General features: G+C 38.7%; 1 protein-coding gene and 1 pseudogene across 1 annotated transcript in view; one reads left to right on the plus strand and one right to left on the minus strand.

Moving 5' to 3' along the window:
* Positions 1–27,774, minus strand: part of SH3RF1 (SH3 domain containing ring finger 1) — a 176,698-nt gene that overhangs the window by 54,553 nt on the left and 94,371 nt on the right. The window contains exons 3-4 of the mRNA NM_020870.4: positions 7,593–7,868; positions 6,669–6,764 (exon numbers count right to left, since the gene is read on the minus strand). Coding sequence (NP_065921.2) covers positions 6,669–6,764; positions 7,593–7,868 — 372 coding nt within the window. The remainder of the gene's footprint in view (positions 1–6,668; positions 6,765–7,592; positions 7,869–27,774) is intronic.
* RPL6P12 (ribosomal protein L6 pseudogene 12) lies at positions 17,443–18,341 on the plus strand (annotated as a pseudogene).

Below are 27,774 nucleotides of genomic sequence, written 5' to 3' on the forward strand. Positions count from 1 at the left end.
CCCTGAAGGTGAGCTTTCTATACAGACAAAGAAATATCCCTGATGAGCTGTAAAGAGAGCAGTTCCAGGGTATGTTTTCCAGGAATTATCAGTAAACTTAACTAGGGCCCTGGGTACATGTAGCAAAATATGGCCAGGTTAAAGAACTTGGCGATTCTTTAGGGAGTCATTGTGGACCTTAGATACCATTTGGTGATTAGCCTAGGCCTCTGATTATGGCTATGCAGGAAATCTGCGTTTTTATGTTCTATGAAACTACCTAGAGTACTGGAAACTGTCCATTCGTGAAGTGGGAACTCCATAAACATTAACCGATCTTTACAATCTCAGCTCTCTCAATGTTTTCCTGATGGAAAGCAAAAAGAAACTCTTAAATTAGAAAGAAGCCTCTGAATAATAGATGGAGCATAAACTACCCTAAATCCTTACCTAAACAACTCCTTTTTAGATTGAGTCTTTAGCCATATTTATTAAACAGCCGTTCCTGGAGCTCAGAGGAGACCTGCTTTTGCCTTTAGAACTTCAGGAGCCAGTGCTCATTTTTCCTTTTCCTTCTATTGTTCTGGCAGAAGGAAAAGCAATAATTACTTGTATCAAGTGGATAGCATTCAGAAGATATGAAAACCTACACCATGGGACATAGTCTACAGTGCTTAAAGAAAAAAAAGCTACTCAAAGGCAGATCCAATGTATTCAGTCAGAATTACAGATGAAAGTATGGTGCTAAGCAACGAGTAATTCTCCCTTACTGACTTCTCAACAATGTCTTTAAATTTCACTTACAAAAATTTATTTACTTCAGGTTTGAAAGGGAAATTTGGATGCTAAGCAACACAGTAATTCCCTCTTCCCAACTTACCCACAATCTCCCTAAATTTCTTTTATAAACATTGATTTAACTTTTTAATTTTTAAAGGAAAATAATACATCTAAAGGAAAAAATATATCCAAAAGTATAAATGATGCTATCTTTTTATATAGTTCAATCAACTCTTTGATTATTAGATCAAAGGTTATTATTGTGCCCTTCTGCTATCATTATTCTCAAGAGGAAAGGCTTTTAGTTAAAAAATAAAGTTAGCATTGTTATTCTTAGCTCCTCCAGGGGTCACCTTGGCAACTTCAAACTATGTACCTACACTTCTACTTCTTATTCTTTGGAACACAGACATTACCTTCCAATTCTCTCATTCCCTAGAAGAGGAAGCTAGCACCCCCACCTTTAAGGCCACTTGTGCTCCCTGAGCCCTTTGATTTCCCATTGTTAAGGCTGATAACACACTCTATCCATAGCCAGAGAAATGTCTCCCATGATTTGTCTATGGTTGATTCTAGAAAGTGAATACAACTAATTACTCCAAATTGTACACTTTAAATATGTGTAGTTTATTGTATGTAACTTACGTCAATAAACTTATTTTAAAAGTGAGGATCCTTGACAATAAGTCTGTCCTACCTCAGCTCAAAGTAAGTCAAAGGAGAAATTGCAAATAGGTGAAAATTCATCTCAGAAAGAATCAGTGAGTCTTTTCTTCTTAACATTTTATTTTTTAAATTGACAAAATTGTATATCTTTATCATGTATAAGATGATGTTTTAAAATATGTATACACTGTGGAATGGCTAAATTGAGCTAATTAACATACGTATTACCTCAGATAGGTATCATTTTTTGTGGTGAGAACACTTAAAAATCCACTCTCAGCATTTTTCAAGAATACAATAATATACTGTTATTAACTATAGTCACCCTATAGAACTCTTGAACTTACTCCTCCTACATAACTAAAATTTTATATCCTTTGACCTACGCTACCCCCAGGGGGGTCTTCTCTACAAAGCTGGCCCTCTACATGCATCTTAGGGCCCCATGTCCGAGGAATGGAGGACTGACTGCAGTACGCCATTTTATGTGAGGGACTTGAGCATCCGCAGATTTGGAAACTGTGAGGAATCCTGAAACCAACGCCCTGTGGATACTGAGGGACAACTGTATTTAAGAAATAAATAACCAGTAGAGATTACAAGATCTAAGCCATAGAGTATTGCTACCATTAATTTGGGAAAATTCTAAACTAGGTACAATCAAATAGCCTAGTTTTTAAAAAAACAGGAAAAAAGCTTGCATTAAGGTCACATAGACCAGCTGGTCTGAAGAATGTAACATCCTGACGTAACACCAAGATAAACCAATGATAAGATATACACATAGGCAGTGAATGATGGGAGAATTAGCTGAAAAATGTAGAAGTTGGCAAAATCTACAAACATGTTTGTTTTGAGTTTAGAACCTTTCATTATAAAAGTTCATAGGTTGCTCATTCATTCAACCAATATTTATTGAAAGCGTACTACAGGCGCTGTGCAAAGACCCTGCGGAACCGGCCCTTGGGAGTTTGAATTCTAATGGGGAAATGGAGGGTGAGGGGTCAGCTAGTAACTACATCAACAAATAACTGGAAATACTCACAGAGAGAAAAAAGGGTTAATAATTTCTAGGGATAATAATAACAATGGTGATAATAATCACAGCCATCACTGACATTGCTCTTGCTGGTACCAGGCACTATTCTTAAGTATCACTGGAACTTATTATTTTACAAATGAAGAGCCAGGCCCATAGTCACTTAGATAATTAGTAGTAGAGTCAAGATTGGAATCCTGGCCATCTGGCTCCAGAGTCCAAGCTTTCTCCCACTATGGCACCAGTATGTGTTTGGGGTACAGCAAGTGAAGAGGAGGCACTCCCTTAGATGAGGTGAGAGAAAGTCTGTCAGAGGAAGTGACAGCTGACACGAGATCTAAACAAATGAGAAATGTAGCCCTTGTTTCTAGCAGTAACTACTGAGTAAGAATAGTTGTCTATGAGGCCACTCCAACTTCAGGCCTTCTGCACATTACCTTTTATCATCTATAGCAGAGGAGCAAGTTGCTAAATAACTTTTTTGGTGTTGAAAAACTGAGTGGGCGATATTTCAAACAAATGACTAGGAATCAAAATAAAATGAGAAACTTAATAAAAATTTATAGTTCACCGTAAGCCTACAATACACAATTATGTTTGGGAAGCATCCAAAATTCCATATTCAGCACTTATTTCATTCATATTTTTTGCTTGCTTAAGAATCATGTCATCCAAACTTGAATGAATGAGTCAGCTCCAAATTAATAGGGTTAAAAATCTTTCCTTCTATTTTACAGAAAACTAGTGTTTTTGAACAAAGAAGCAGATTAAAAATCTGTTTTTTTAAAACTGTATTCAGTCCTTAAAAAATATACCCTTTTATACATATCATGGCATGGTGTCTTCAAGAACTGCTTTTAACCTTTACTATTTTCCAGCTTACACAAGTGAAGAAAGGGCCTGTCTAAATTGAATAGAACCCATAACCTCTAAGGCTCAACCAAAGAGAGGTCTGAAAGAATCTCCGGAGGGGAAGGGTGAATGTGATCAAAGCAAGAGAACCCTTACCCTTATCTTAAGAGCTCAACAAGGACTCCAAGGCAAAGAATCCAGGGCCATTTATATAGCCATTCTTTCCCCTACTCACTTCTCCCAACCAGACTCTCCTCCATTCAAGCCTTGAAAAATTTTGTGTTCTACTTTAATAAGCAAAGTGTTTTGCATTATTAAAAGGAGATGTGGCTGGGTGCGGTGGCTCACGCTTGTAATCCCAGCACTTTGGGAGGCAGAGGCAGGCGGATCACCTAAGGTCAGGAGTTCGAGACCAGCCTGACCAACATGGTGAAACCCCGTCTCTACTAAAAACACAAAATTAGCCGGACGTGGTGGTGCATGTCTGTAATCCCAGCTACTTGGGAGGCTGACGCAAGAGAATTGCTTGAACCCGGAAGGCAGAGGTTGTAGTGAGCCAAGATTGTGCCATTGCACTCCAGCCTGCGCAACAAGAGCGAAACTCTATCTCAAAAAATAAAAAAGGAGATTTGTTTGCAAGTCACTGTACCACCATCGCTATTTTATCACCTTACTCCAGTGCACGTGGAGATCACAGTCCACAGTCACATGATGTTGAGGAAGAAAAGGATAGTTGAGGACAGGAAGAGAGGGCAAACTATTCCGGTAGCATTTCTCACCACCTCAATCCTCTCTTTACCCACCTCCAGTGCTCAGCTCCTTACAGTTTACCTTCCCTCCTAATTCCACAGCTCCACATCTGAACCTCTGACCCAGAGATTCTACTACAGGTCCACAATCCTACCCCAAGGCCCATCCCGTGCAGACTTTCTGCCCTAGGAGAGTTCCTTGGGCATATCCATTACCTAAGTCGGCCAGCAGGAGTCGAGGGGGAGTTTCAGCTTCTCTCATTACACATGGTAGTTAGGTTCTTTTATTTGATTATTACCATGCTCTGGTACCCTCTGCGTGATAGTCTAATCTGAGCTCCAAACCACTATGCATAAGACATAGTGGTGTCAGACCCTTGGAGATACATCATCTCATTCAATCTTCTCCAAACTTCTAGGAGATAACAGTTTTTGGCAGGACTGTACAAAAAAAGCAAAATACCTAACACTGATGGAGACTTAAATGTCTATTTATAAGATATAAGAGAATTATTTACCAATTTTTGTGATGCAGCCTGTTTTTATACTGGGATTGTCTGGCCCCTGAAGTGGGGCAAATATGAATAGGTTTACAGAGCTAGAGAAAGACCATTACTTAAGAAAAAGCCCCAGTTTTTATTCCTATAGTTTGCTTTACCACAGCTAAGAATGCCCTGTAAGACAATCGACATTACTGAAATAGTTGAATTTCAGTAGGTTGCAATTGAAGTCTGCCTCCACTTTATTCCCCTAAGGGCTAAACTAGGTGTCACTAATCCCTAGATGCTCTGCTCCCTACCAGGAAGTTCAATCTGATGGCTTGACATCAAAGAAATGTTCATAGGCTCCTAAAGATAGACAGCTTGTTTACCACATCTCAAATGGCAAGATTCTGGTTCAAGTGAGGAAAATGCTCATTTGAAAGAAAAGAAGCAGAATGAAAATACTTTCTACTTGGGCAGAAGTTTATCTTTCCAACTTAAGTCAGAGTAAATAATCCTGATGAGTCAAGTGACTTGAAGTGACTCTGGATTTGCCATGGGTGGATCTTTTATGCCTATCTGCACAATTCTATACTCGCCCAATAACAAAAATATAGTAAACCCTTTTCATGCATCACAAACCAAGTATCAGCATGTAATATTGATAATACCTAAAAAGTAAAGACAGGCTTTCATTACTAATCCTGTGCTTACCCATGCTCTTCAGTGTAACTATTCAAATGCTTGGAAGTGCTTGTAGTTTCCCATTACCCACAGTTAGAATATATACATAATGTACAGGAAGGACTGCCTGTGAGTTAAGGGTTGTTTGGTTTTTTTCTGTTGTTTGCTTTCAAAGGAGGAAAAAAATATTTCAATAAACAGGAACATCTGAAGAGTATGGATAAAATTCAAGACTCATACATGGTTTGAATTACTTTCCCATGGATATACAGTAGTCAAATTGATTTTTTATGAAAACGTTGGCAATCTCACTCTCTATGGAGGAAATTGAGTGCTGGCTACAATGATACAGTTTGTCATTTTAGTTTTCAAGATCATGCCAAAACAAATGCCTCAGATAAAAAGACTGCAAAATAAGTGACAGTGGTTTTTCAGTTTTACATGCTTAAGATCCGTGCTTTGATATTTTAAACAACCAGATTACTTTCAATTCCCCAAATAATCTTGTGCTCTCTCTTACTTTTTGGCTTTTGAACACGCTGGTCTCCCTGTCTGGATGTCCTGCCATAAAATATACCTTTTCCATGTCTCTTAGTTAACCCTTATTTATCCATCACACAGATATCTACTAAGACCTCACTTCTTACCAGAAGCCTTCCATGGCCTCAACTAACCTTGAATGGTTGTCTGGGCCACGCTTCCTTCTTTGAAAATGCCTTCGATTTTATTTTCAGCAAGAAATTCTTATTCCCAAAGGACATTTAGTTTATGATATATGATGTAATGAAAATCTACTATGAATTGTAACTCCTTTATGTTCAGCTTGTATTATTCTTTAAAGTAATACAACTATGTGACTACACATACTCTCTAAAAAGACTTTACTATGTCAAGCTTGGCCACAAGCTTTCCAAGCAAAGCTGATTTAAAAAGGGAAAGGGGGCTAAGTAGTTGCTGGGATGGGATGGAGGAAGATTCATTGACTTATTTAACAAATATTTATTGAAGCCCTACTTTGCATATCACTATTCTGGTTCTGCTGATGCAGCAAGTAACCAAAGAAGTAAGTAAAAAATAAACAAATAAACTTTTCTCCATCTTACTTAAGAACTTTATCAACTTTCTACTCCCACCAAAGCCAGCAAATGGAATAAACAGGAAATAGTGTAGGTGACTGACAATAAGCATACAGTGACATTTAACAAGACACAGGAATGCTTTTAGCAGGGAGAAAAAGTAAAGAGTTTCAAGTATCTCACTGTCTTCAATAATTGTTGGATAGGATGGAGGAATTCTTCCTGATCTGTCCAGTGATCTGTAACAGGGCATTCCTGGTGCTTTTTGTTGTGAGGACTTCTTAATACTCAAATTGCATAATTAAGATTTATTTAGTAAGCTGAATATTAACACAGTTCAAGTTTCTACAGATTAATTTACCTCAACATATGAAATTGGAAATATTCCTATTTTGTCTGCCAGCATTCCTTCAGCCCAGTTTTCATCCACTCTTCGGATCACAGTCAGAACATCATCCTGAAGAAACAGCAAATCATTAATCTACCTGATCATTAAGCTGTACCATTAAGCTTGTCATTTAATTTTCCTTTTCAATAAAGAGACTCATGTTTTAAAGAGTACATGAATAAAAATGCTATGACATATCTTTAGTACATGGATTAAATGTTTTCATGAATTAAACGGTAGCTACCAGCCCACCTGGTGTCCTTTCCAACTGTTACAAAGCTATGAACTCCTATGCAAGGGAGCTGGCTGCTAACTCTTAAGATCTACAAATTGCAACCTCAAATGATACCTACCCTAGCCTCCTGAGTTTGTTTTAGATTGATTCTCAGATGCTCCTCATTTTCTGAAAATAAACCAAATGCCTACTCAAATGTACATCCTACCGCTTTTCTCCACAAAAATCACAAAATTCTGCTTAAAACTCCAAACCATTTTATCAATTCGGCAGATATATTCCTGTATGCTTTTAGGCAAAGAATTTTACATATAAAATATGAAAGTAATGACATTTCATTTTGTTATTCATAATTCAGTACTTTAAAATCCCTGAGTGGTGCATACACCCTTTAAAGTGGCTTAGAAATAAATTCAGACTCTAAATATGAAAATGATACCACATAGAGCATCAACCAAGATAATCTTTCATATAAGAAGTCTGTGCATAAAATTACCTTCCTTGTGACTTAAAGACTGCTTCTAGGCATTTTCAGAAGCATAGTGAGTAGTTCACACAAAACTTGTATTTTTTTTTGCAAAAGGCAACACGAGCTATATTTCTATGTATCTGGGTACAGAGGTAGAGCTGGCAAACAGAAAACAAGCACATTCTACCTTTACCTTTGCAAATGGAAGGCAATCTTTGTCTGCTTCCTTGTCTTTCACTTCAAAGTCATAAAGTGCTTTGCACTGAGGTGGGGGCTGAGGTAACGGTTTAATAATCTGCACAAAGTTGGTGGGGAAAAAGCCATGGATTCCATTGACTTCCCCATGGTACCAATTTTCATCCACTTGTCTTCGCAAAATGATGATGTCACCTTTGCTGAATTTAAGGTCTCCAGGCTCTTTTCCTTCATAGTTGTATAATGCTTTGGCACATGGTAACTGAGGTATACCCTTTAAAAAAAAAAGAGGGATGAATTTTAATAAAATAATGGTCTTAAAATGTCTCTGAAAATACAACTGCGTTGTCATTGTTTTAAAGTCAAAGTCAAAACCACACTGTAACCCTTGAAGAAAATCTCACACAAAAACAATATATATGTGTTACCAATAAATAGAAAACACAAAACAATTGTCCATAGTGACATAAGAACAGTACGACACCCATGCACCAGCCATGATTTAGGCTTCTATTCTTAAGTTTAACTTGGTGGGTGTTTTGCCTTCTTTCTTTGAGGTTATCAGTATATGAAAGCATGACTGCCAGGTCTGCCTCTCAAGAACTCATAAAAAACAAGCTTAACTTCCTACATTAACTACTTTATTCATCAGGATAAATGATAAACACTGAGGAGAAATGATAGATACTGAGGGGAAAAATTTAAACCAAATTTATTAATTTACTAAACTGCTTTTAAGCTTGGTTGATAAAAATCAGAGTTCGGCTTTTAGGCAAATCTCTTCCTGATATTGCTTTTAATGTGGGCAGTAGGTCTTACTCTTTCATGAGCTCAATGAGTATTTAATGAGGGTCTACTCCTGGATACAGCAGTGAGTGAACAGTCACAGTACCTGCCATCCCCAAGTTTATAATCTGTAAGTGTATAGACACGTGGTCTTTTACAGCCTAAGATCATTCAACTTTGCTCTTTCCTGGAAGAGAGCACATTGTTAGGCTGATAAGCTAAGAGATGAGGAATTTAATGTTCCTGCATTGCATTACTGTTTTAAATGACAAGTTTAAAATTGTGTACATAAACCCCAGTGCAATTTAATCATCAACTGATTAATATGATACTTTTCAACGGCATTGGGGGTGCCCAATCTTGAGCATCAGTTGTCACTTTAAGATCTTTGGCCTCTCTGAGCGCTGTTGCATATCGTTGATTCAGGAGATAAGTGGCAAATCCAACATGTCTATAATAATTCCCTGAACAAGATTACAGGGCTCCTGCTTTTGGAGTCTTTATTTATTTATTCACTCTTCCAGAAAACATTTATCAAGCTTTTACTTTTTTTTTCTTTTTTTTTTTTAAGACGGAGTCTTGCTCTGTTGCCCAGGCTGGAGTGCAGTGGTGCAATCTCGGCTCACTGCAACCTCTGCCTCCTGGGTTGAGTGATTTTAACGCTTCAGCCTCCCAAGTAGCTGGGATTGCAGGCAAGCACCACTATGTCTGGCTCATTTTTGTATTTTTACAAAATGGGGTCTCGCCATGTTGGCCAGGCTGGTCTCAAACTCCTGACCTCAAATGATCCACCCACCTTGGCCTCCCAAAGTGCTGGGATTATAGGCATGAGCCATCGCACCCAGTGCAAGCTTTTACTTTTTACCACGCAATGTGCAAGTGCTGATGACTTAAAGAAGAATAAGACAGTTCTTTTCTTAAAGGATATTAGTAATAACTACAATACAGTGTAATAAATGTAATGATAAAGATATGCACACCATTTATGGGGACAAAAAACATAGGTCTCTCGTGTTTGGTGAGTAGGAAAATGAAACACTTCCTGGAGGAAGTGACACATGAGCCAAGTCTTAAAGGATGCACAGGAATTAGTTGTCAAGGTTGGAGTGAATGAATGAAAGAGAACAGTAAGGGCATTCCAGGCAGAGGGGTCAGCACCAGCAAAGACCTGGAGGTAAGAAGTCACATGTGCAGCGGGACTGGGGAGCATAAAGAATGCAGTATTCCTGGATAAGAATTACGGAACATAAAGGAGAGGTAGGCAGAGGCCAGTTTATTGAGGGTCTTGTATAACATATGAAAGAGTTTTTATTGCTGCGTTCTTCTGGTAATGGTAAGTCATTTCCATGTTTAATGCACAAACAGACTTAGGTCCTATGTGCCGGACAGATCAGTCTGGCAGTAGTGTGGAAAATGGACGTGAAGTGGGCAGGCAGGCAGAGAGCTATGTGCAAAGCACAGGCCTCAACTAGTTGAATATTTTTTAAGTTTAATATTTCCAATGAAGTAGAGCAATATAGTTAGCATTACTTATATCATTGTCTGCCCCCCGACCTGTAAAAAGTGGATCAAAGTTTTATACCCTTGATGGCAACAGAACTTCATAACACAATTTTCAAAAATTAGTTTGGTTTCTACTTAGAGACTTAGAGTCTGGACTACCTATAAGCCAAATTTGTTTTGCTAAACATTTGTTTAGGAATATTAATTATTGCTCTCAAAATGCTATTGGCAATCATCTTGCCTTGGCTTAGTCCATGTGATGTTGTAGTTGGTTAATTAGAACTTCCCTGAGAGGCCAATGTCCTGGGAAGACAGGGGTTGAGCCTTCCAGAGTAATGACACCCTCCTGTGACCTCTGACTTTCAGACTCTGTCTTAAGATCTGGCCTCCAATGGCGTCACTTCTGCTACTCTGCCTTGACCTAATCTTGTAAGCAATTCTGCTGTGCCCAGAAAGGAAATGCCCACCAAGAACTCTGGTCATTCACAACGCTGTGTACTCTGGTCACATTACATTAGTGTCCAACTCTGGGGAAAGAAGAATTCTAATTTTTCTCTACCCTCACAGATGCCTCATTATATTCTCCACTATATTATGTATTTCTTCAAGGCTAGTTATCACAGCTTAACAACATTTCCAAAAATAGGTTTGAGGAAATAATAGTAAAACACAGCAATCGACAGAGAGAGAGAGATAGAGAGAGAGAAAGAGAGAGAACTGGCAAGTACTATACTAAATCTCTTGTACAATAGCTAAAGAGACTCTGATCAGGCAGTATAGGGTACTGGCTGGAAGCACAAACTCCAGAGCCAGATTGCAGGGTGTGAATCCCATTTACTAGCTCTGTGATTTGGGGCAGGTTAACTCGCTGTGCCTCTTTCTTCATTTGGGCTGTTGTGAGGATTTAGTGAATTCATATATATAAGCCACACCTTAAATGACCCAGCAGGCAGTACATGCTACATGTGTGAACCATCATCATTGTCATCATCGTCATCATTACCCAGTGTAAAAAGCCTCTTTACCAGTGAAATGGGGCACCTGACAATGCATTTGTCTCTCCACAGCTGGATGCTTTCCCTTTTAGATGAATTCACATAGCAATTACATTTTTAATACATATTCACTGTATAACAATGCAAAGAATGTTCCTCCTAGGAAGTGTTCAGGATTTTGAAATGTGCATTTCTGAAGCACACATTTGTTTTCTGAGTAGAATCCATTCATCTTCTGGTTGAACAGAAGAAATTACAAATTCACTGACATGTACCGTTTAATAGGGGATGGCATTTTAGATGTGGCTGTAGTTCATCTTGACAGGGCTAATGTAAGGCATTGGAAGCCTGCATGAATTAATTGAAAATCCCATTACAAACTCGGTGACAAATAACTCTATTCACCATTATGGCCTGTTTTTTTCCCTACCTCAATTAGCTCTGTTTGGCCCACTCTGTCCAAATCCATGCCAGCCAAACCCATGCACCAAGATACAGATTTAGCACTCTTAGAAACCATTCTGAACTGCTCCTTGAAGAGATCTGTAAAATTCCAAATGACCCACAATATGGTTTTTTGTGATATGCTGATGTGGGAACTGAAGGAATTTATTTCTTTACAGATCACTTCCACACACCAGTGGCCTAATGGACTTATTAACTTTTCCACAAAACAAATCTATTACATGTTCCTAAAATCATCAAGGATTCTAAATAGACCAGTGGCAAGGAGAAAGCTTACTATGATAACAGTGATATACATTATGGTTAGCCTAGGGTTACATTTCCGTGATGCAACTGAAAATTCATTAATTCACCCCAACTTGCTAAGTCTTGACTGCTAAAATTGTTTCAATGATCAATAACCACAAAGAATCATAAAGCTTATGACAATCTAACCCATGAACAAACATTTGTGCATCTGGCTGTGTTTTTCTATGGTATTCTTTTTCAATTAAATTCTATGAGGCTAGAAAGCCAGTTTGGGTCAAGTTTCTAAAAAGAAGGCTTCCCACATTAAATAAAATGAATTCTACTCTGATTTTAAATCAAGCAAAGTTCAGTGATCTTTGAAAGACTTATTCCCACACAGACTGCAGATGATTAAGGATAAACGGTTAAACGACTTGGAAAAGCAATAAAAGAACACATTTTCCTTTTGCAACATCTGAAAGATAAAGCCAAAACAATTGGTTTGATAGCCTAGGACTACTCTGTGGATAAAATATGTCTGGAGCCCATGGAGGCACTGCCCTCTCATTCATCTCCTTCGAAAGGTCTGAGAGTCATGTCATCACTGGGCCCTCTGCCCTCCAAGCCTTCTGCAGGCTTTCCAAACTGCTGCTTTTCTTCTGTATCCTCTCATCAGGCCAAGGCCCCCAAGGATCCACAGAGCTTACATTTCACTTGGAGACTTTCACTTGGCTACACATGAAAGGGATGCTTAAAAGGAGAGAAAGCCAAAGAGAAACCGACTCTGCAGTCTAACCTTGGGTTTGCGGCTTGTCATTCACACTGCCAGCTTTATCAAAAAGCTTGGCAATTTAGACAGGCAAACTGTTACAGTAATTCTGCATCTAAAAACATTTTGATAAACATCTACTATATTGTTCATTTAAAAAAATAAGTATGATAGTGGGCCAGCTTTACATTTCAAATAATTTTTGTTTCCAAATCATACATACAGGTTGTCTTTTAAGATATTAAAATCCTCATGTGATCTGCCTATAAATATTTTTGATTAAATGCTTTCGACTTCCATTTCCATACCATCAGCGGTATTCCAATACATCTGGCAAAATGCTACTTGATGAACTAGCTGAGATTCTAACAGGTAAATAAAACATTCACTGCCAATTTATTTTATAGACTCTAAATGCCAATGCCCAGATGTACGTGCAAGACAGCCTCTCTAAATTCAAATTCCTTCATGCATTTCTTACTGCTCCATAAAGTAAAAAAGATTCAGTGACCTCCTAAAAAGAAAATCTAGAAGACACTCTTGTAGTGGGAACAGCTATAAAATGTGTATAATTTAATAACTCAGTTATATCTAAATTGGCATCAATGCTGGCTGATTTTAACTTGACTTTCAGAAACTTTCCAGAAAGAACTGAGGCACAAAGAAATCATAGTAATAGAAAGTACCACACAGAGTAAGAAGTAGAAAAATGGGTGGAAGAAACAATTTTTTAAAAATATCTTTTGGGTCAGGCACGGTAGCTCACACCTGTAATCCCAGCACTTTGGGAGGCTGAGACAGGCGGATCACTTAAGTCTAGGGAGTTCAAGACCAGCCTGGATGACATGGCAAAACTCATCTCTATAAAAAGTACAAAAATTAGCACGGTGGTGGTGCGCCTACAGTCCCAACTACTTGCGAGGCTGAGGCAGTAGGCAGAGGTTGCAGTGAGCCAAGATGGCGCCACTGCACTCCAGCCTGGGCAATAGAGTGAGACTCCGTCTCAGAAAAAAAAGTAAAAAAAAATAGAATGTCTTTTGTACAACAAAAAACATGTTGGCTTTTCCCTACAAAGTAAAATATCTGTCAAGATATAATAACAGTATTTCATGAAAATATTGATTCTTTAACAGTTAATAACTCCTAAGTATTGTTCTCAAGATATCTACATCAGATAATCACTCAAATATGATTTGGCCATCACTACTAATGTTTCAACTTCAATGACGGCCAAGACGAATATTAAAGGTTTTATTTTTCCAAAGTAACATCAGAAGGGACTGAGAATCCCATAATTCCACAATAGTCCATCTTTCATTTGTTCTTTCCTTTAACATTTATTTCTGGAAAGCACTGTGCTGGGGAATTTTTATCTGACAATCATTTTCTTAATCTTCTACCTCCCACCTACCCCAAATTCACTACATAAAATTTTCTAATCATACTAACTTTAATCAAAACTACCAGCACTTTGAGGATGGCAGCTGCAAATAAACAGAAATTAAGACAAAACGTTGTTTCTTCATTCACATGTCTTCTTTTTGCCTTTATTCTACTATCCCAGTGTCCCCTTTTCTTGCATGCTCATTTTCTCCAGCTTTCTCCAGAAGTAGACTCTGCAGCCAGCCAGCCCCCCTCCTTATTCCAGACCTGGTTCCAGTTCCATACCAGCTCAAGAATGTGGGCTGACCAAGGCCAGCCTTTGGGCTTTTTTAGCGCTTGGTGGCTCCTCAGCACACACTCTGTGCTGTCTGCTGCCCTGCTCACGCTCATCTGTGGGCTCCACACCCTCCATCCTCTCCTTACCCAGCTCCTGCAATCCAATCCACCATCGCTAATGGAGTGTCTAACTCAGCTCTTGACCAAACAGCAATCAGTCAATTATAGTCTCCAGCAGCCTTGCTGTTTTGCGGGGGGCATTAATGGTTTCGGGGGCAAGGTAGAGGGAGAGAAAAAAAAAAACAAACTAGAGATAAAGGAAAGTAGATAAAGTAGCTTTCTTACCAATTTCCCTGGGCTGTACTCTCATCATTAATCATTTGCATAATGAATTTAGCTGAAGTCAAGAGTATATTCAAACACCCAGAAAAAAAAAAAAATGAACAACAGTTTTCCAAATTTCAAAACGAAAAAATGCTATTAGACTCTTCATTAAATGTTTTTTTCTAGAAACTAAAATACAGAAAACAAACTGAAATACATTTGTCCCACCTCCTGGATTTTCCTCTCCTACAAGTACAGGAGAACCTGAGGCAGCACTCAGGAGCATGTTTAAAAGGCAATGTTGCAGGAAAAGTGGGCTAAGGGGCATTGCTTAGTAAATACCTATATTTAGGAGGCAGAAAAAAGAGAGATACAGGAAACTAGAGAGGTAGGACGAAAACCAGCAAACTATAACCACAGTAACAAGGATAATTCCTGAAACACGGTTTTGTCCACATCACCTATGTCTTTACAATCTGGAGACAGTTCCCAATTACCTCTTAAATCACATTAATGGTCTAAATCATGAGTTTTATGGCCCTCCATTTGGATTGTCTGTTCCACCTCATATTTTCCACCCTCAGCAAGCAAACCAGTCTGCTGTCATCACCTCCAACTTCATACATGCCATCTCTCCTCCACCAAAATTCATCGAGAACAGTCCATTTCTCCCTCCACCTCCCCACCTTGTATATGTATCACGTGCCTGATAATTATGCTGCATTTCTTTCACTTGGATTTTTATGTCTGTCTAGGATGACTGCTTTTGTTGTTTGGAATCAGGTGTAAATAAGGCCAAGATCAATGATCTGATTCTTGTGTGGGTCAATAGGACAGTCTCTATTTCCCAGATGTGACAGCCACTACTTGTCCATCAGGACCCAGCCCAGGCATTGCCTCCTTGGGGAAGCTTCTCCCAACCTTCCTCTACCCAAGTCTAGAGAAGGTGCTGCTCTTTTTATGTACACCTAGAGTGCCTTATGAATACTGTTATCATGGCCCTTATCTTACTCAGTTTATAACCTATTTCTTCCTGCTAGACTGTAACCTCCTGGAGACCTGGGACTATGTGTTATGCATCTTTGTATCATGAGTACCTACCTCAGTGTCTGTGAAAAACTTCTTGCTGAATAAATTAATGAAAGAACAAAAGTTATCTCTAGTGGACTGAGTGGTAAGGTGTGGATAGGTTAAGTGGAAAAAGAACACATCTAAAGGAAAAGCAACTAAAAAGATGATTCTACTGACAGGCTCAACAGTTTTACACAAATTGCAAAATATATACAAACACATATTTATGTGTCTCTGGGAACTCCTCATGAATGGTAGACTGCTAATCCATCTTTTTGAAACTGTCCTCCCAAGTACACAGCAGGTGGTGGGCACTTGATTCTGAGACATGGGAGGTACAGAAATACTGAAGGAGACATTTTTATTACCATTTCCTAGGCTGCTGGGAAACCTGGGGCATGCTAAGGTGCTACAGAAAAACCTGGGGAAACATGAGCAGGCACTGCAAATTGGTATCAACTTCACTGTGTTCTAGACACTGGAACTAAAACATAGTCCGTTCTGGAAGTGGGCAGTTGAGTGTCTTATACTAAGCAAATGGCTGGCATTTGAAAAATGTGAAACAAATTATGCAGCAAACTACAGCAAATAAATATTTTCCTTATAAACTCATTTGGTGGTTAGGAGGAAACAGTCATGCAGTTGATATGGCATTTCTCTTGGATGGCCTTAGTACCCAACTGACAGATAAATCATTAAAGAAAACAAATTTTATGAATTTCTCCAAGTGAAGATAGCTATTGAGAATGCAGTCACTCAAGTAAAATGCAAGAAGTTTGTGTCACTCATTGCCTTGAATATTAGTTTTCTGTTTCATCACATGTTTAATAATTACAATAGTATTTTGCAGAGAGCAGGAATATTTACTGGGAAGATTCTCTGCAGTAACTTGAGTTACCATCTTGAAGACTCATCACAGGATGGGGACTATTTCCTGGGAAAAGGTCAAGTTTCTACCTATTTGAAAAACAGATTCCTGGCAAAGAATCTGCCCTTCTCTTGCCACTGCCCTGCCCTAGGCCTCCAACCTGACCCTGGGGTGTAGAGCTAAATAGGGAGGAATGATCATGTACCAGGAATTCTGCTTGCATCTTATCTAATCCTACAGAAATCCAGGAAAGTAGGGAGATTCAGAAACACAAAGGGAGAGGGGTGTGTTGAGAACATGTTTTAGTATTAAAGAGGTTGGGTAACAGCCACATGCAGTGGCTCATGCCTGCAAACCCAGCACTTTGGGAGGCTAAGGCAGGCAGATCAATTGAAGCCAGGGGTTCACAACTAGTCTGGGTGATCTGGTGAAACCCCATCTCTTAAAAAACTAAAAAAACAAAAAACTAGCAAGGTATGGTGGCACGTGCCTGTAGTCCAATATTGTGCCACTGCACTCCAGCCTAGGTGACAGAGCAAGACTCTGTCTCAGAGAAAAAAAGGCGGGGGGGGGAGTCAGGTAAGGCCTCAGTGAAATTCAATTGCCTATTTTTAGTTTTGTCCAGTGTTTACATTAACACCTTGGAGAGAGGATGCTCATATAATTTAAACATAAGGTTAAATGTAAAAGATAGTTCATAGTTTCAGAATTAAAGCAATATTGAAATAAACCTACACACATATAAACAACTAGACAAAAGCGTCAAGGCAATTCAACTGAGAAAAATAAAGTCTTTTCAAAAGATGATTTCAGAACAATTAGAAGCCCATGGGGAATAGATGGGGATGAATCTTGAGCCCCTACCTCACACTATACACAAAAATTAATTTAAGATGAATCCCAGACTCAAATGTAAAAGCTAAAACTGTAAGTTTTATAGGGGAAACAAGAAATTACCTTAGTGATGTGTAGGGAGGGGAAAAAAGCCTAAATTAACCATAAGTTGACAAATTTGACTGTATTGAAATTGAAAAATTAGGTTCAACAACAAAAGACACATGAAGAAAATAAAAATGTAAACCACAGATTGGGAAATATATATATATATAATAAAGGACTCAAATCCAGAATTAAAATGACTCCTACTAACCAACAATTTGATTTAAAAACAGGCAAAAGTTCTTTCCCATCTTGCCAGATGGTGGTGAAAAAATTGAGAAGCTGGATACTAAAGAGAAGGAACCCGAAGCCACGAAGGCTGATGCTGGTGGTAAGGTGAAAACGGGTAACTTCAAGGCTAAAAGCCCCAAGAAGGGGAAGCTCCACTGTGGCCAAAATCCTATCCTTATTAGAGGAATTGGCAGATATTCCTCATCTGCTATATATTCCAGAAGTGCCATGTACAAGAGGAAGTACTCAGCCAATAAATCCAAGGTTGAAAAGAAAAAGGAGAAAGTTCTTGCAACTGTTACAAAACCAGTTGGTGGTGAGAAGAATGGTGGTAACCTAGGTGGTTAAACTTCACAAAATGCCTAGATATTATCCTACTGAAGATGTGTCTCAAAAGCTGCTGAGCCACAGCAAAAACCTTCAGTCAGCATGTGACAAACTGCGAGCCAGCATCACCCCAGGGACCATTCTGATCATCCTCTCTAGGTGTCACAGAGGCAAGAGAATGGTTTTCCCGAAGCAGCTGGCTACCGGCTCGTTACTTTGACTGGACCTCTGGTCCTCAATTGAGTTCCTCTAGAAGAACACACCAGAAATTTGTCATTGCCACCTCAACCAAAATTGGTATCTGCAATGTAAAAATCTCAAAACATCTTACTGTTGCTTACTTCAAGAAGAGGCAGCTGCAGAAGCCCAGATATCAAGAAGGTGATATCTTCGACACGGAAAAAGAGAAATGACCAGTGCAAGGTTGATCAGAAAGCTGTGGACTCAAATTTTAACAAAAATCAAAGCCATTCCTCAGCTCCAGGGCTACCTATAATCTGTGTTTGCCCTGACAAATAAAATTTAACCTCACAAAGTGGTGCTCTAAATTTCTTAAGAACCTAATTAAGTAACTGATAACATTAAAAAATAAAAACAAGCAAAAGATGTGAATACACATCTTGAAAAGAAGATGTTTGTATAGCCATGGAAGGGCACTCAACACCATCAGGCAACTGCAAAATAAAACCAAAATGATATATTATAATGCGTTCATTAGAATGATTAAAATTTAAAGACTGACAACAGAAAATTTTCTAAAAAATGTGGAGCAACTAGAATTTACATAGATTGCTAGTGGGGGTCTAATACTGATTGAAAAATTCTTATAAAGTTATATGTACATTTACTCTTCAATCTACCCCTCTTAGGTATTAACCCAAGATAAACGAAAACATACATCCACACCCAGATTTGTACAAAAATGCACATCACAGCACTATTTATAATACCAAACACTGAAAACAATCCAGATGTCCATCAACATGGGAATAAATGGAATCCTGTTTAACTATTTCAAAAAATGAATTACTGACACATGTGAGTAAAAAAAAATACTATATGATTACATTTATAAAATATTCAAAAACAGGTGAAACGAATCTCTTGTGGTAAAAATCACAGTAGTTGCCCATAGGAGGTGGGCAAATGAGTGAAAGAGGGTGTGAGGGAAATTTCTGAGACTATAAATATATTCTGTATCTTGACGGAGGTGTTAGTTATCCTGGTGTAGAAAGGTATCAAAACCTACTAGATCGTACACTTAAGAACTGTAATTCACACATACAAATTTTACCTCAATACCAAAGGATATTAAGGTAACACTGGAAGGCCAAGGTGGTAGGATATCTTGAGGCTGGGAGTTCAAGATCAGCCTAGACAAAATAGTGAGTCCCTGTCTCTAAATAAAATTAAAAATAAATTAGCTGGGCATGGTGGGACAGGCCTATAGTCCCAGCTACTCAGGAGGCTAAGGTAGAAGGATCACTTGAGCCCAGGAACTCCAGGTTGCAATGAGCTATGATTGTGTCACTGCAGTCCAGCCTGGGCAACAGAGTGAGACCTCACCTCTAAAAACAAAAACAAAAGCAAAAGTATCACAATGAGTAACAAGCCACACTGGCTTTCAAGAGAATGGCAAAATGAGAAAAGAAATCTGAAATTCAGAGGTATGGAGATTAATGCACATAAAGATGTCTACTTTTCCAAAAGGAAATTACAGAACAGAAATGATTGTACATAATGTACTGTCACTCCTAGAATCTGACCTTATTAGCACCAGTCAGTCTCTCACTAGATGTCCAGGATACATTCTGAATCCCATAAACAAAAGGAACAGAGAAGTTTGGCATATTCAGTAGAGAGAGATAAAGATGATAAAAGTGTTGGAAAATATTGACAGAAAAGCTGTAGAAACTGAGATGTATTAGTACAGCAGTATTATTCTAGAATAAGTCTTCAAATACCATGAAAAGGTCTTACACAAAGAGAGTAAGTCTGATTGGAACTCGCTGAATAAAAAAATACAGGCTTAAACTCATGCATGCATTATTTAAGTTGGATAAAGGAATTTCCTGACAGAGAGGGTTGTTAAATATTGCAGTGGATTATGATATCTTTCACTGGAGACTTTGAAAAAATGAACAGTCTCACGTTTGGTTCTGCCCAAAGGCAAAGGGACAGACTATGACTGATGATCTCTAGTAATCTATGATTTCTTTGGCAATCAAATCATCTGAGAGAAAAAGTTTATTCTTGATGATTTTGTCCTTTGTTTCTTAGGGGTGGAATCTCAATAATAATGATAGTGATGAGGTATGAGAGAGTGAGCAGGGAGGAGACATTTGGAAAGAAAATGAAATGAGAATATGAATTCGCCTACAGAAATCAAATCAAGCCAGCTTCAATACTCCAAAGTCTGTCATGACCTTCTACAATGTCATTAGGAAAAGCAGAAACAAGCTCAGCTGTGGTCAAACCAAGCTGCCTTTTATCTTCTTATTTTTGCTGTTGAGAGTAATACATAATATGTGCATATTACTGTTACTGTTCTTCAAAGGAGCATTCTTCTAGTCAATTAAATGTGAAGTTTATATAGTAAGGATTAAACAATTACTTCAGGAAAATATCTTCTTACTTTGAAATAAACTTATTACAAGGATATAGAACCAATCCTGTGAACCCTATAGGGTAGGCTCAAAGTCTTTAAAACATAATTAAGTCTTTTCATTAAAAAAATAACAAGAGACTGGGTGCAGCAGCTCACACCTGTAATCCCAGCACTTTGGGAGGCTGAGGCAGGCGGATCATATGAGGTCAGGAGTTCAAGACCAGCCTGGCCAACATGGCAAAACCCTGTCTCTACTAAAAATTAAAAAGTTAGCCAGGTGTGGTGGTGCATACCTGTAGTCCCAGCTACTTGGGAGGCTGAGGCAGGACAATCACTTGAACCCAGGAGGCGGAGGTTGCAGTGAGCTGAGACTGCACCACTGCACTCCAGCCTGGGCAACACAGCAAGACACTGTTTCAAAAAATAAAAAAAAATAAAAAAATAAAAACTCAGACATCCATGGAAAACTGGTTTTGTTTAAAGGTGAGAGAAGGAAGGAAGATCTTTGGACCACTTAAAAATTTTTTATTTAATCAAAATTTACTGTTATTTTTCACTTTTTCTTTTGAGACAGGGTCTTACTCTGTCAACCAGGCTGGAATGCAGTGGTGTGATCAGGGCTCACTGAAGCCTCGACCTCCTGGGCTCAAGCAATCCTCCTGTCGTAGCCTCCTGAATAGCTCGGTCCATTGGAAATGAGGCTTTAAAAATACTTTGTAAATATTCTGTGGTACTAAAATGAGTGTTACTAGAAGATCCTAATTGCCTTTATGCTCTAATTTCTCCATTATTCGACTGTGCAAGAAATGCTACTGGAAAAAGTAATATCCATTTGCAATGAACAATTTTATCAATAGATAGATTAATGGGCAGTTTTATTGAGGCTTCCTTAAAAAAAAAAAAAGTCTTCCAATTCAAATATACTGATCACCAAAAATAAGAAATGAGAGCAACTTAAAGGGAAATGGTTTACTAAGCCAGTTGCAGCAAGCCCAGACCCAAATGTTATTTTGTTCTAAATAAATAAATAGTAGAATATGAATTACAGGTGTTTTCAACCAAAATGAACCATTTATATTAAAATGACACATTTTTTTCTGTTTCTAGGTGATTAAATAAATAGCAAAGAAAATCAAGCAAGAGCCCATGCGTGCACCTGAGACTACTTTTGTTAAGCATTTCGTGTATACTGCATAAGAAGGTAACAGATCATGCTAGCTGTATTCCTACTAACGAAAAATTTAAGATGAGAAAATTAATAATCGGAATACTTTTGGTCATGGCAACAGACTAAATTACTATTTTTAAACATCTTGCCAATATATTAAAACATATGCTTTTTGAAAATTGTTTAACTAAATTTTTTTTAGGCAAAGCAACTAATTTTACATGTTCACCAGGCTGTGAGCTATGTGAGGGCAGGGCTGGAGCTCATTCATCTTCATATCCTGGGGGCGCAACACACAGCAAAGAATCAGCTCATTAGATGACTACTTTTCTGCTACTTCTTCCTTCATTCCATCCTATATAGATCTGCCAGATTCATCTTCCTGAAATACAACTTTTATCATCAGATCACCTGTCTGATCTAATCTGTCTGATCTGTCTGAAATACAACTTTTACCATCAGAGCATGTGTCTCATCTGGAAAAGAAGAGCTGAAAAATGACACAAGGGTTCAGAGATACGGAAAACAGCTCTAAAAAGATCTAATATTTATCTAAAGTGAGTGTTACAAAGAAGAAAGTGACAATAAGGAGAACTGTAAAATAAATACAGTAATTGAAGGAAATTTTCCTGAACTAAAAACACTTGTCTTTAAACTTAATTTTAGGCTAAAGCTACTTCCTTATATTTAAGTTTGACCTAAAGGTTTCTCCACACATAGTGAAGTATAACCTAACCAGATTTGTAAACAAACTGTAACCTACTCTTGCAGGAATCAGAGTTCTGGCCAATCGCAGGCAGCCAATTGTTCAAACTGGGTTCAAATGAGGCAAACACCACGGTGTAACCAATCAGGTTGTTTCTGTACCTCACTTCTGTTTTCTGTGAATCAGAGAGGATTTCGGTCCATGAATCCTCTCTGACCACACAGCAGCACCAGAGTTGCTCTGAACCTATTATGGTTGGGGGAACTGAATTGTTCTTTGCTCAATTAAATTATGTTGAGTTTGTTTCTCTTTTAACACACCCAAGATCTCAGAACAGTCTCATTAAGTGCTAAGCAGATTAATGAGGGGGAAACAGACCGTATTCAGGCACATCTCATTACAATTCAAAACTCCAAAGATAAGTGAAAAATTCTAAAAGATTTGGGTCAGAGGTGGAATGTAAGTAGAATATGACTTATTGATAGTAATATAGGAGAAAAGTAGACAGCAGAAAAAAGGCTTTACATTTCTAAGGGAGCATGATTTAGAAGAACTTGGCCAGCTAAACTGTTAAATATGTGTCTGAACAAAATACTGATTATTTTTGAACACCCCAAATCTCAGAAACTTTATTACCTGTGCCTTTCAAGTGAAAACTATAACAATTATGCAAGGAAGTATCTCCCAGCCTACAATATTCCCCTCACAAAAAACCACAGAAGACTCCTAGAGAAATGAAATGTGATACAAGAAATGTGGATGGCTCAATATGATCTAGAAGAGATGAAGAAAATGAAATTTTAAAAAGATCCACTGGATCTAGAGGTGGGGCAGGGTCTGGTGAAAGGTTATATCTGCTTCTTCTCCATCCGCACTGCAGTGAATCATGTTTATATAATCATAATACTGCAAATGCTATTTTTATGGGACTTGGGGAATTAATTACAGCTACAGAATAGAATGTTATAAACTCTGACAATATCAAAATAACAATACACTGAACTAAAACCAAGAGTTAGGCTTAAAGGAAGGTGGGAGGTAGAAGTACTCTAAATTTTCCACTCTGAAATTGATACTGTATGAGCCTAAGAAAGCAAGAGCTGAAAACATATTATTGAAGGCTTGGGTCACCCCACCAGGTAAAAAGCCACGACCAGCTCAGTTGCTTGCTGAAGGCAAAGGGAATACAGAATGAGTAGTAGAAGAAGGCAGTTATCAATACTGGCTAAAACCATGTGTCCAGTTACAGAAAGGAGGACTGTACTATCATGAGTAATTCCTCCTTATTTTAAGAATATGCCCGTACATGGATATACCTGTACTCAGAAAATATCTTCGTTTTACTTCCTTTCTTCTTCCTTTATCATGTAACATGAGATTTATTGACTTCATATCAGCATTTAAATGTCATTAACTTTATATAATAGCATTTAGGTTAAGGATTAGGGCATTTTCAGTTGTACAAAATATAGTTGTATTATGTTAGGTGTAATTATGACCTTATTGTTTTTATTTGGAGATTAAGTATGATTTAAGGAGATGTGTATGGGGCTAAGTTGACAAGGGGTCAACTATTATGGTTCACATTAGGTGTCAACTTGATCAGATTGAGGGATGCCTAGATGGTTGCTAAGGTATTGTTGGCTGGCAGGGGTGAGGGTGTTGCCAGAGGAGACTGACATTTGACTGACATTTGGGCTGGGAGAGAAAGACCCACCAATTGGCTGCCAGCGCGGCTAGAACAAAGCAAGCGAAGAAGGTGGGATGTAATGGTAACCAGTAGAACTAAAGAATAGAAAACAGTAATAGCACTTACCCCTGGAAAGCAGGACTAGGGTAGGAGAGAAGAGAGAGGGACACTCTTGCTCTCTATTTTAGAATCTTCTTTGAGGTTATGTATTTTCTATCATGAACAGATATTACTCTAAAACTAAAATGTGTAAGAAAAAGTGTGTGAAATTCTAATACACTTGCTATAAATAGAGTATCTTGTTTACTAAATAATTAAGATATACAAAGAGGAGTAATAATAAAAAAGATAATCCACTGTATCCACAAACTGACTTGAGAAATAAAGCATTATAAATGCAATTGAAGCCTTCTGTATTTTTCTTCGCCAACCACATAGTAGATCAACTTTTAAAAGAAAAGAAGCAAATCTAGATGGACCCTTACTATTGTCCCTGCTCATCCACCTAATCCCACTCCTACTTGCTCCTGACCATTCCTGATTAAGATATTCAGTTGCACCAAATAATTGACTCAGGCACCTTAACAAAATATTAATATGACATTAGTAAAACTCCCACCGTGCCCCCTTGTTATTCAGACTGTATGTCTTATAATAAATACAAGCTTGCTGTGCTAAGTTTTTTCTGGGATTAAAAAAAAAAAAGTAGCAAAAGAACACAGTAAGTCCAGTGATTGAGGAAATGAAAAACAAGATATAAATTGTCACTACAATCATGCTCCCTGCTTCTGCAAGACCTTGTGATTCAATTAGTATGATTTCACCTTAAGTGTTTGTGTCTGAGGAGCTGGTGATCCTGAGGCGCTGTAGATCCTGGGGTCTGGAGGGTTACACATGTTAGCTCTGGAGAAAACAATAAAAGCCTAAATACCTTCCCTTAATTTGAGAGGGGTTAGCTTACTGAGCTTGTGAAATATGTGGAAACCACTATCTAACCATTTACAAGCTACCTTTTTTTTTAATAAGCTACTTTTAAAGAGGAGGGGTAGCAAGTTGGCCATGTCTTAGAACCTTGGTTATGAAAACTTCATTAATCAGAGACAAGATTTTTAAATGTTTAAAAGAATATGGCTATTACCCTCTTTCTCACCAAGTCTTTTAGAAAAATAAGATCACCCTACCCACACACCACCACTACCAAATACCTGACTTTAAGGATACGGCTAATGCTAGTTCTTCAATTGTAATTTCCTGAGTTATATATATATATATATGGTGACTGAATTCATACCTGAAGCAGCCCCATCCTGATAACACAATAAAAACCAATGCTTTTCTTGAGACAGGGTCTCACTCTGTCACCCAGGCTAGAGTGCAGTGGCGCAATCATGGCTCACTGCAGCCCCGACCTCCGGGCTGAAGTGATCCTCTCTCTTCAGCCCCTCGAAAGCTGTGACTACAGGCACGTACCAGCATACCTGGCTAATTTTTGTATGTTTTGTAGGGGTAGGGTCTCTCTATGTTGCCTAGGCTGCTCTCAAATTCTTAAGACTCAAGCAATCCTCCCGCCTCAGCCTCCCAAAGTGCAGGGATTATTGGCGTGAGCCATCATGCCAGGCCAAAACTGGTGCTTTTCAAGCTTTAATGAGGGCACGAATCACCTGGACTTCCTGTTAAATGCATACATAGTCTGATTCAGTACCTCTGGGTGGGGCAAGAGAGACTGCATTTCTAACAGTCTCAGGTGATACTGATGCTGCCCAGGGAGCCACACTTTGAGTAAAAGGGGAATCCAGTATCAATCTCCTTCCCAATCTCCTTTGGGTGTTTTTCTTTCTCAATTGCTCCATCTTCTGACATTTGCTCTTTTCTAACTAAATTTACTCCCAAGATGATCTCATCTATTTCCTTCTTTTAAAACCATTTACACAAGCCATTCTCAACCCTGACTGCATATTAGGATCAACTAGGGAGTCATTTTTTCTTCTTCTTTTAAAGTTTTCTAAAGCCCCACCCCAAACCAATTAAATAAAAATCTCTGGGGCTGGGTCAGAAGCATACGGATTTTGAAAAGCTCCTTAGTGACTCTCATATGAAGCGCTAAGAACTGTGGATCTACACAACGATGTCTCCCAGATCTAACCTCAGCTATAACCTCTCCCCTGCGCACCAAGGGCCTACTTCACATCTCCTGTTGAATATCTAATAGGCATCCACAAATCAACGTGTCCAAAACAGACCTCTTGGTTTCCACCTACCCCCATGAAAATCTGATCCTCTACCAGTTTTCCCCAATGTTGGTAAATAGCCCACTGTTCACCTCGTTGCTTGGGCCAAAAGACTGGGCTTCACCATGATGCCTCCGTTCCCATTCTTTCACATTGCACATCCACTTAATGCATCAGCAAGTCTGCCAGCTTTGACTTCAGAACAACCCCCAGTCAGTCCACTTCTGACAATTTCTACTGCTACCAGCCCAAGCCAGATCAACACCATCTGTATTGCCACTATTAACACCCTAGCACCTATTATCCACAGTCTTGCCTGTTAACCTCAGAACGGCTTTCCCTCCCACTTGAAATACAAACTCCTTCCTGTGGCTCCCAAGGCTTTCTATCATCTGGTCCCGGCTAACCTCTCTGGCTCCCTCTCCAATTCTTCTCCCATCCCTACATCCTACTCCTGCTACACTGGCCTTGTTGTTGCTTCTTGACCACTCCAGGCTCTTCCCTGCCTCAGGATCCTTCTCTTACTTTTCCTTCTGCTTAGAATATTCTTTACAGGCTTATTCCTAATCATCATTCAGGTCTCTGCTCTAATGTCATCTCAGAAGGCTTCCCTGATTATCCCACAATAGCCTCAACCCAACCAGCACCCAACACAACTTCCTCACCCTGAACTTTCTACCCTGCTCGTTTTCTTCATGACATTTATCATGACTAGGCACCGACCCACCCAAAACCACTAGACCATAAGCTCTAAAAAAACTGTCTTGTTCAACAGAGAATCACAGGCCTATATCCATACCTGAGGCAAGTTGTACACACTTAATGCATTTTGCACTATTTGTATCTTCCCTCTCCCCCCATCCCCCAATTCATAAATTGAAACCCTAACCAGTGCGAGAGTATTTGGAGGTGGGACCTTTGGAAGGTAATTAGGTTTGGTTAGTATGAGAGTGGAACCACAGGGGATGAGGTCATGGGGTGGAGGTCCCATGATGGGATTGCTGCCTTTGTAAGAAAAGACACAAGAGAGATTCCTTTCTCTTCCTTTCTGTCCACATGCACATACCAAGGAAAGGCCATGGAGCACACAGTAAGAAGGTGGCAAGCCAGGATGAGAACCTTCACCAAGAACAGATTCTGCCAGCTCCTTGAGCTTGGACTTTCCAGCGTCCAGAACTGTGAGAAATAAATCTCTGTTGTTTATACTCCCCAGTCAGGTATTTTGTCCTAGCAGCCCAAGATCCCTAAGACATTGGTGAAAGGAATAAACAAGTCAATGGGGAGCAGCCTGGATGGATCTGTCATGTGCCCCCCAAGCTCTGGGACTGTCCATCCTTTGGAATATCTAGCATTTTCATCAATAATTTGAATGACGGTACATTAGGGCATATTTAATTTGCCAGTGACACAAACCTGTAAGTCATGCTAGCTACCTTACATGTTCAATAACAGAAATATGATTTTAGAATATTTTCATGGGTGATCAATTTTAACCGAACAAAACAAATATTAATTTTAACTGAACAAAACCAATATTAATATTTACTAAGATGAACATAAATGTTGAGGGTTTTGTTTGGTTTTTTTTGAGACAGAGTCTCACTCTGTCACCCAG

This window comes from Homo sapiens, chromosome 4 (assembly GCF_000001405.40).
Source record: "Homo sapiens chromosome 4, GRCh38.p14 Primary Assembly".
Taxonomy (NCBI): domain Eukaryota; kingdom Metazoa; phylum Chordata; class Mammalia; order Primates; family Hominidae; genus Homo; species Homo sapiens.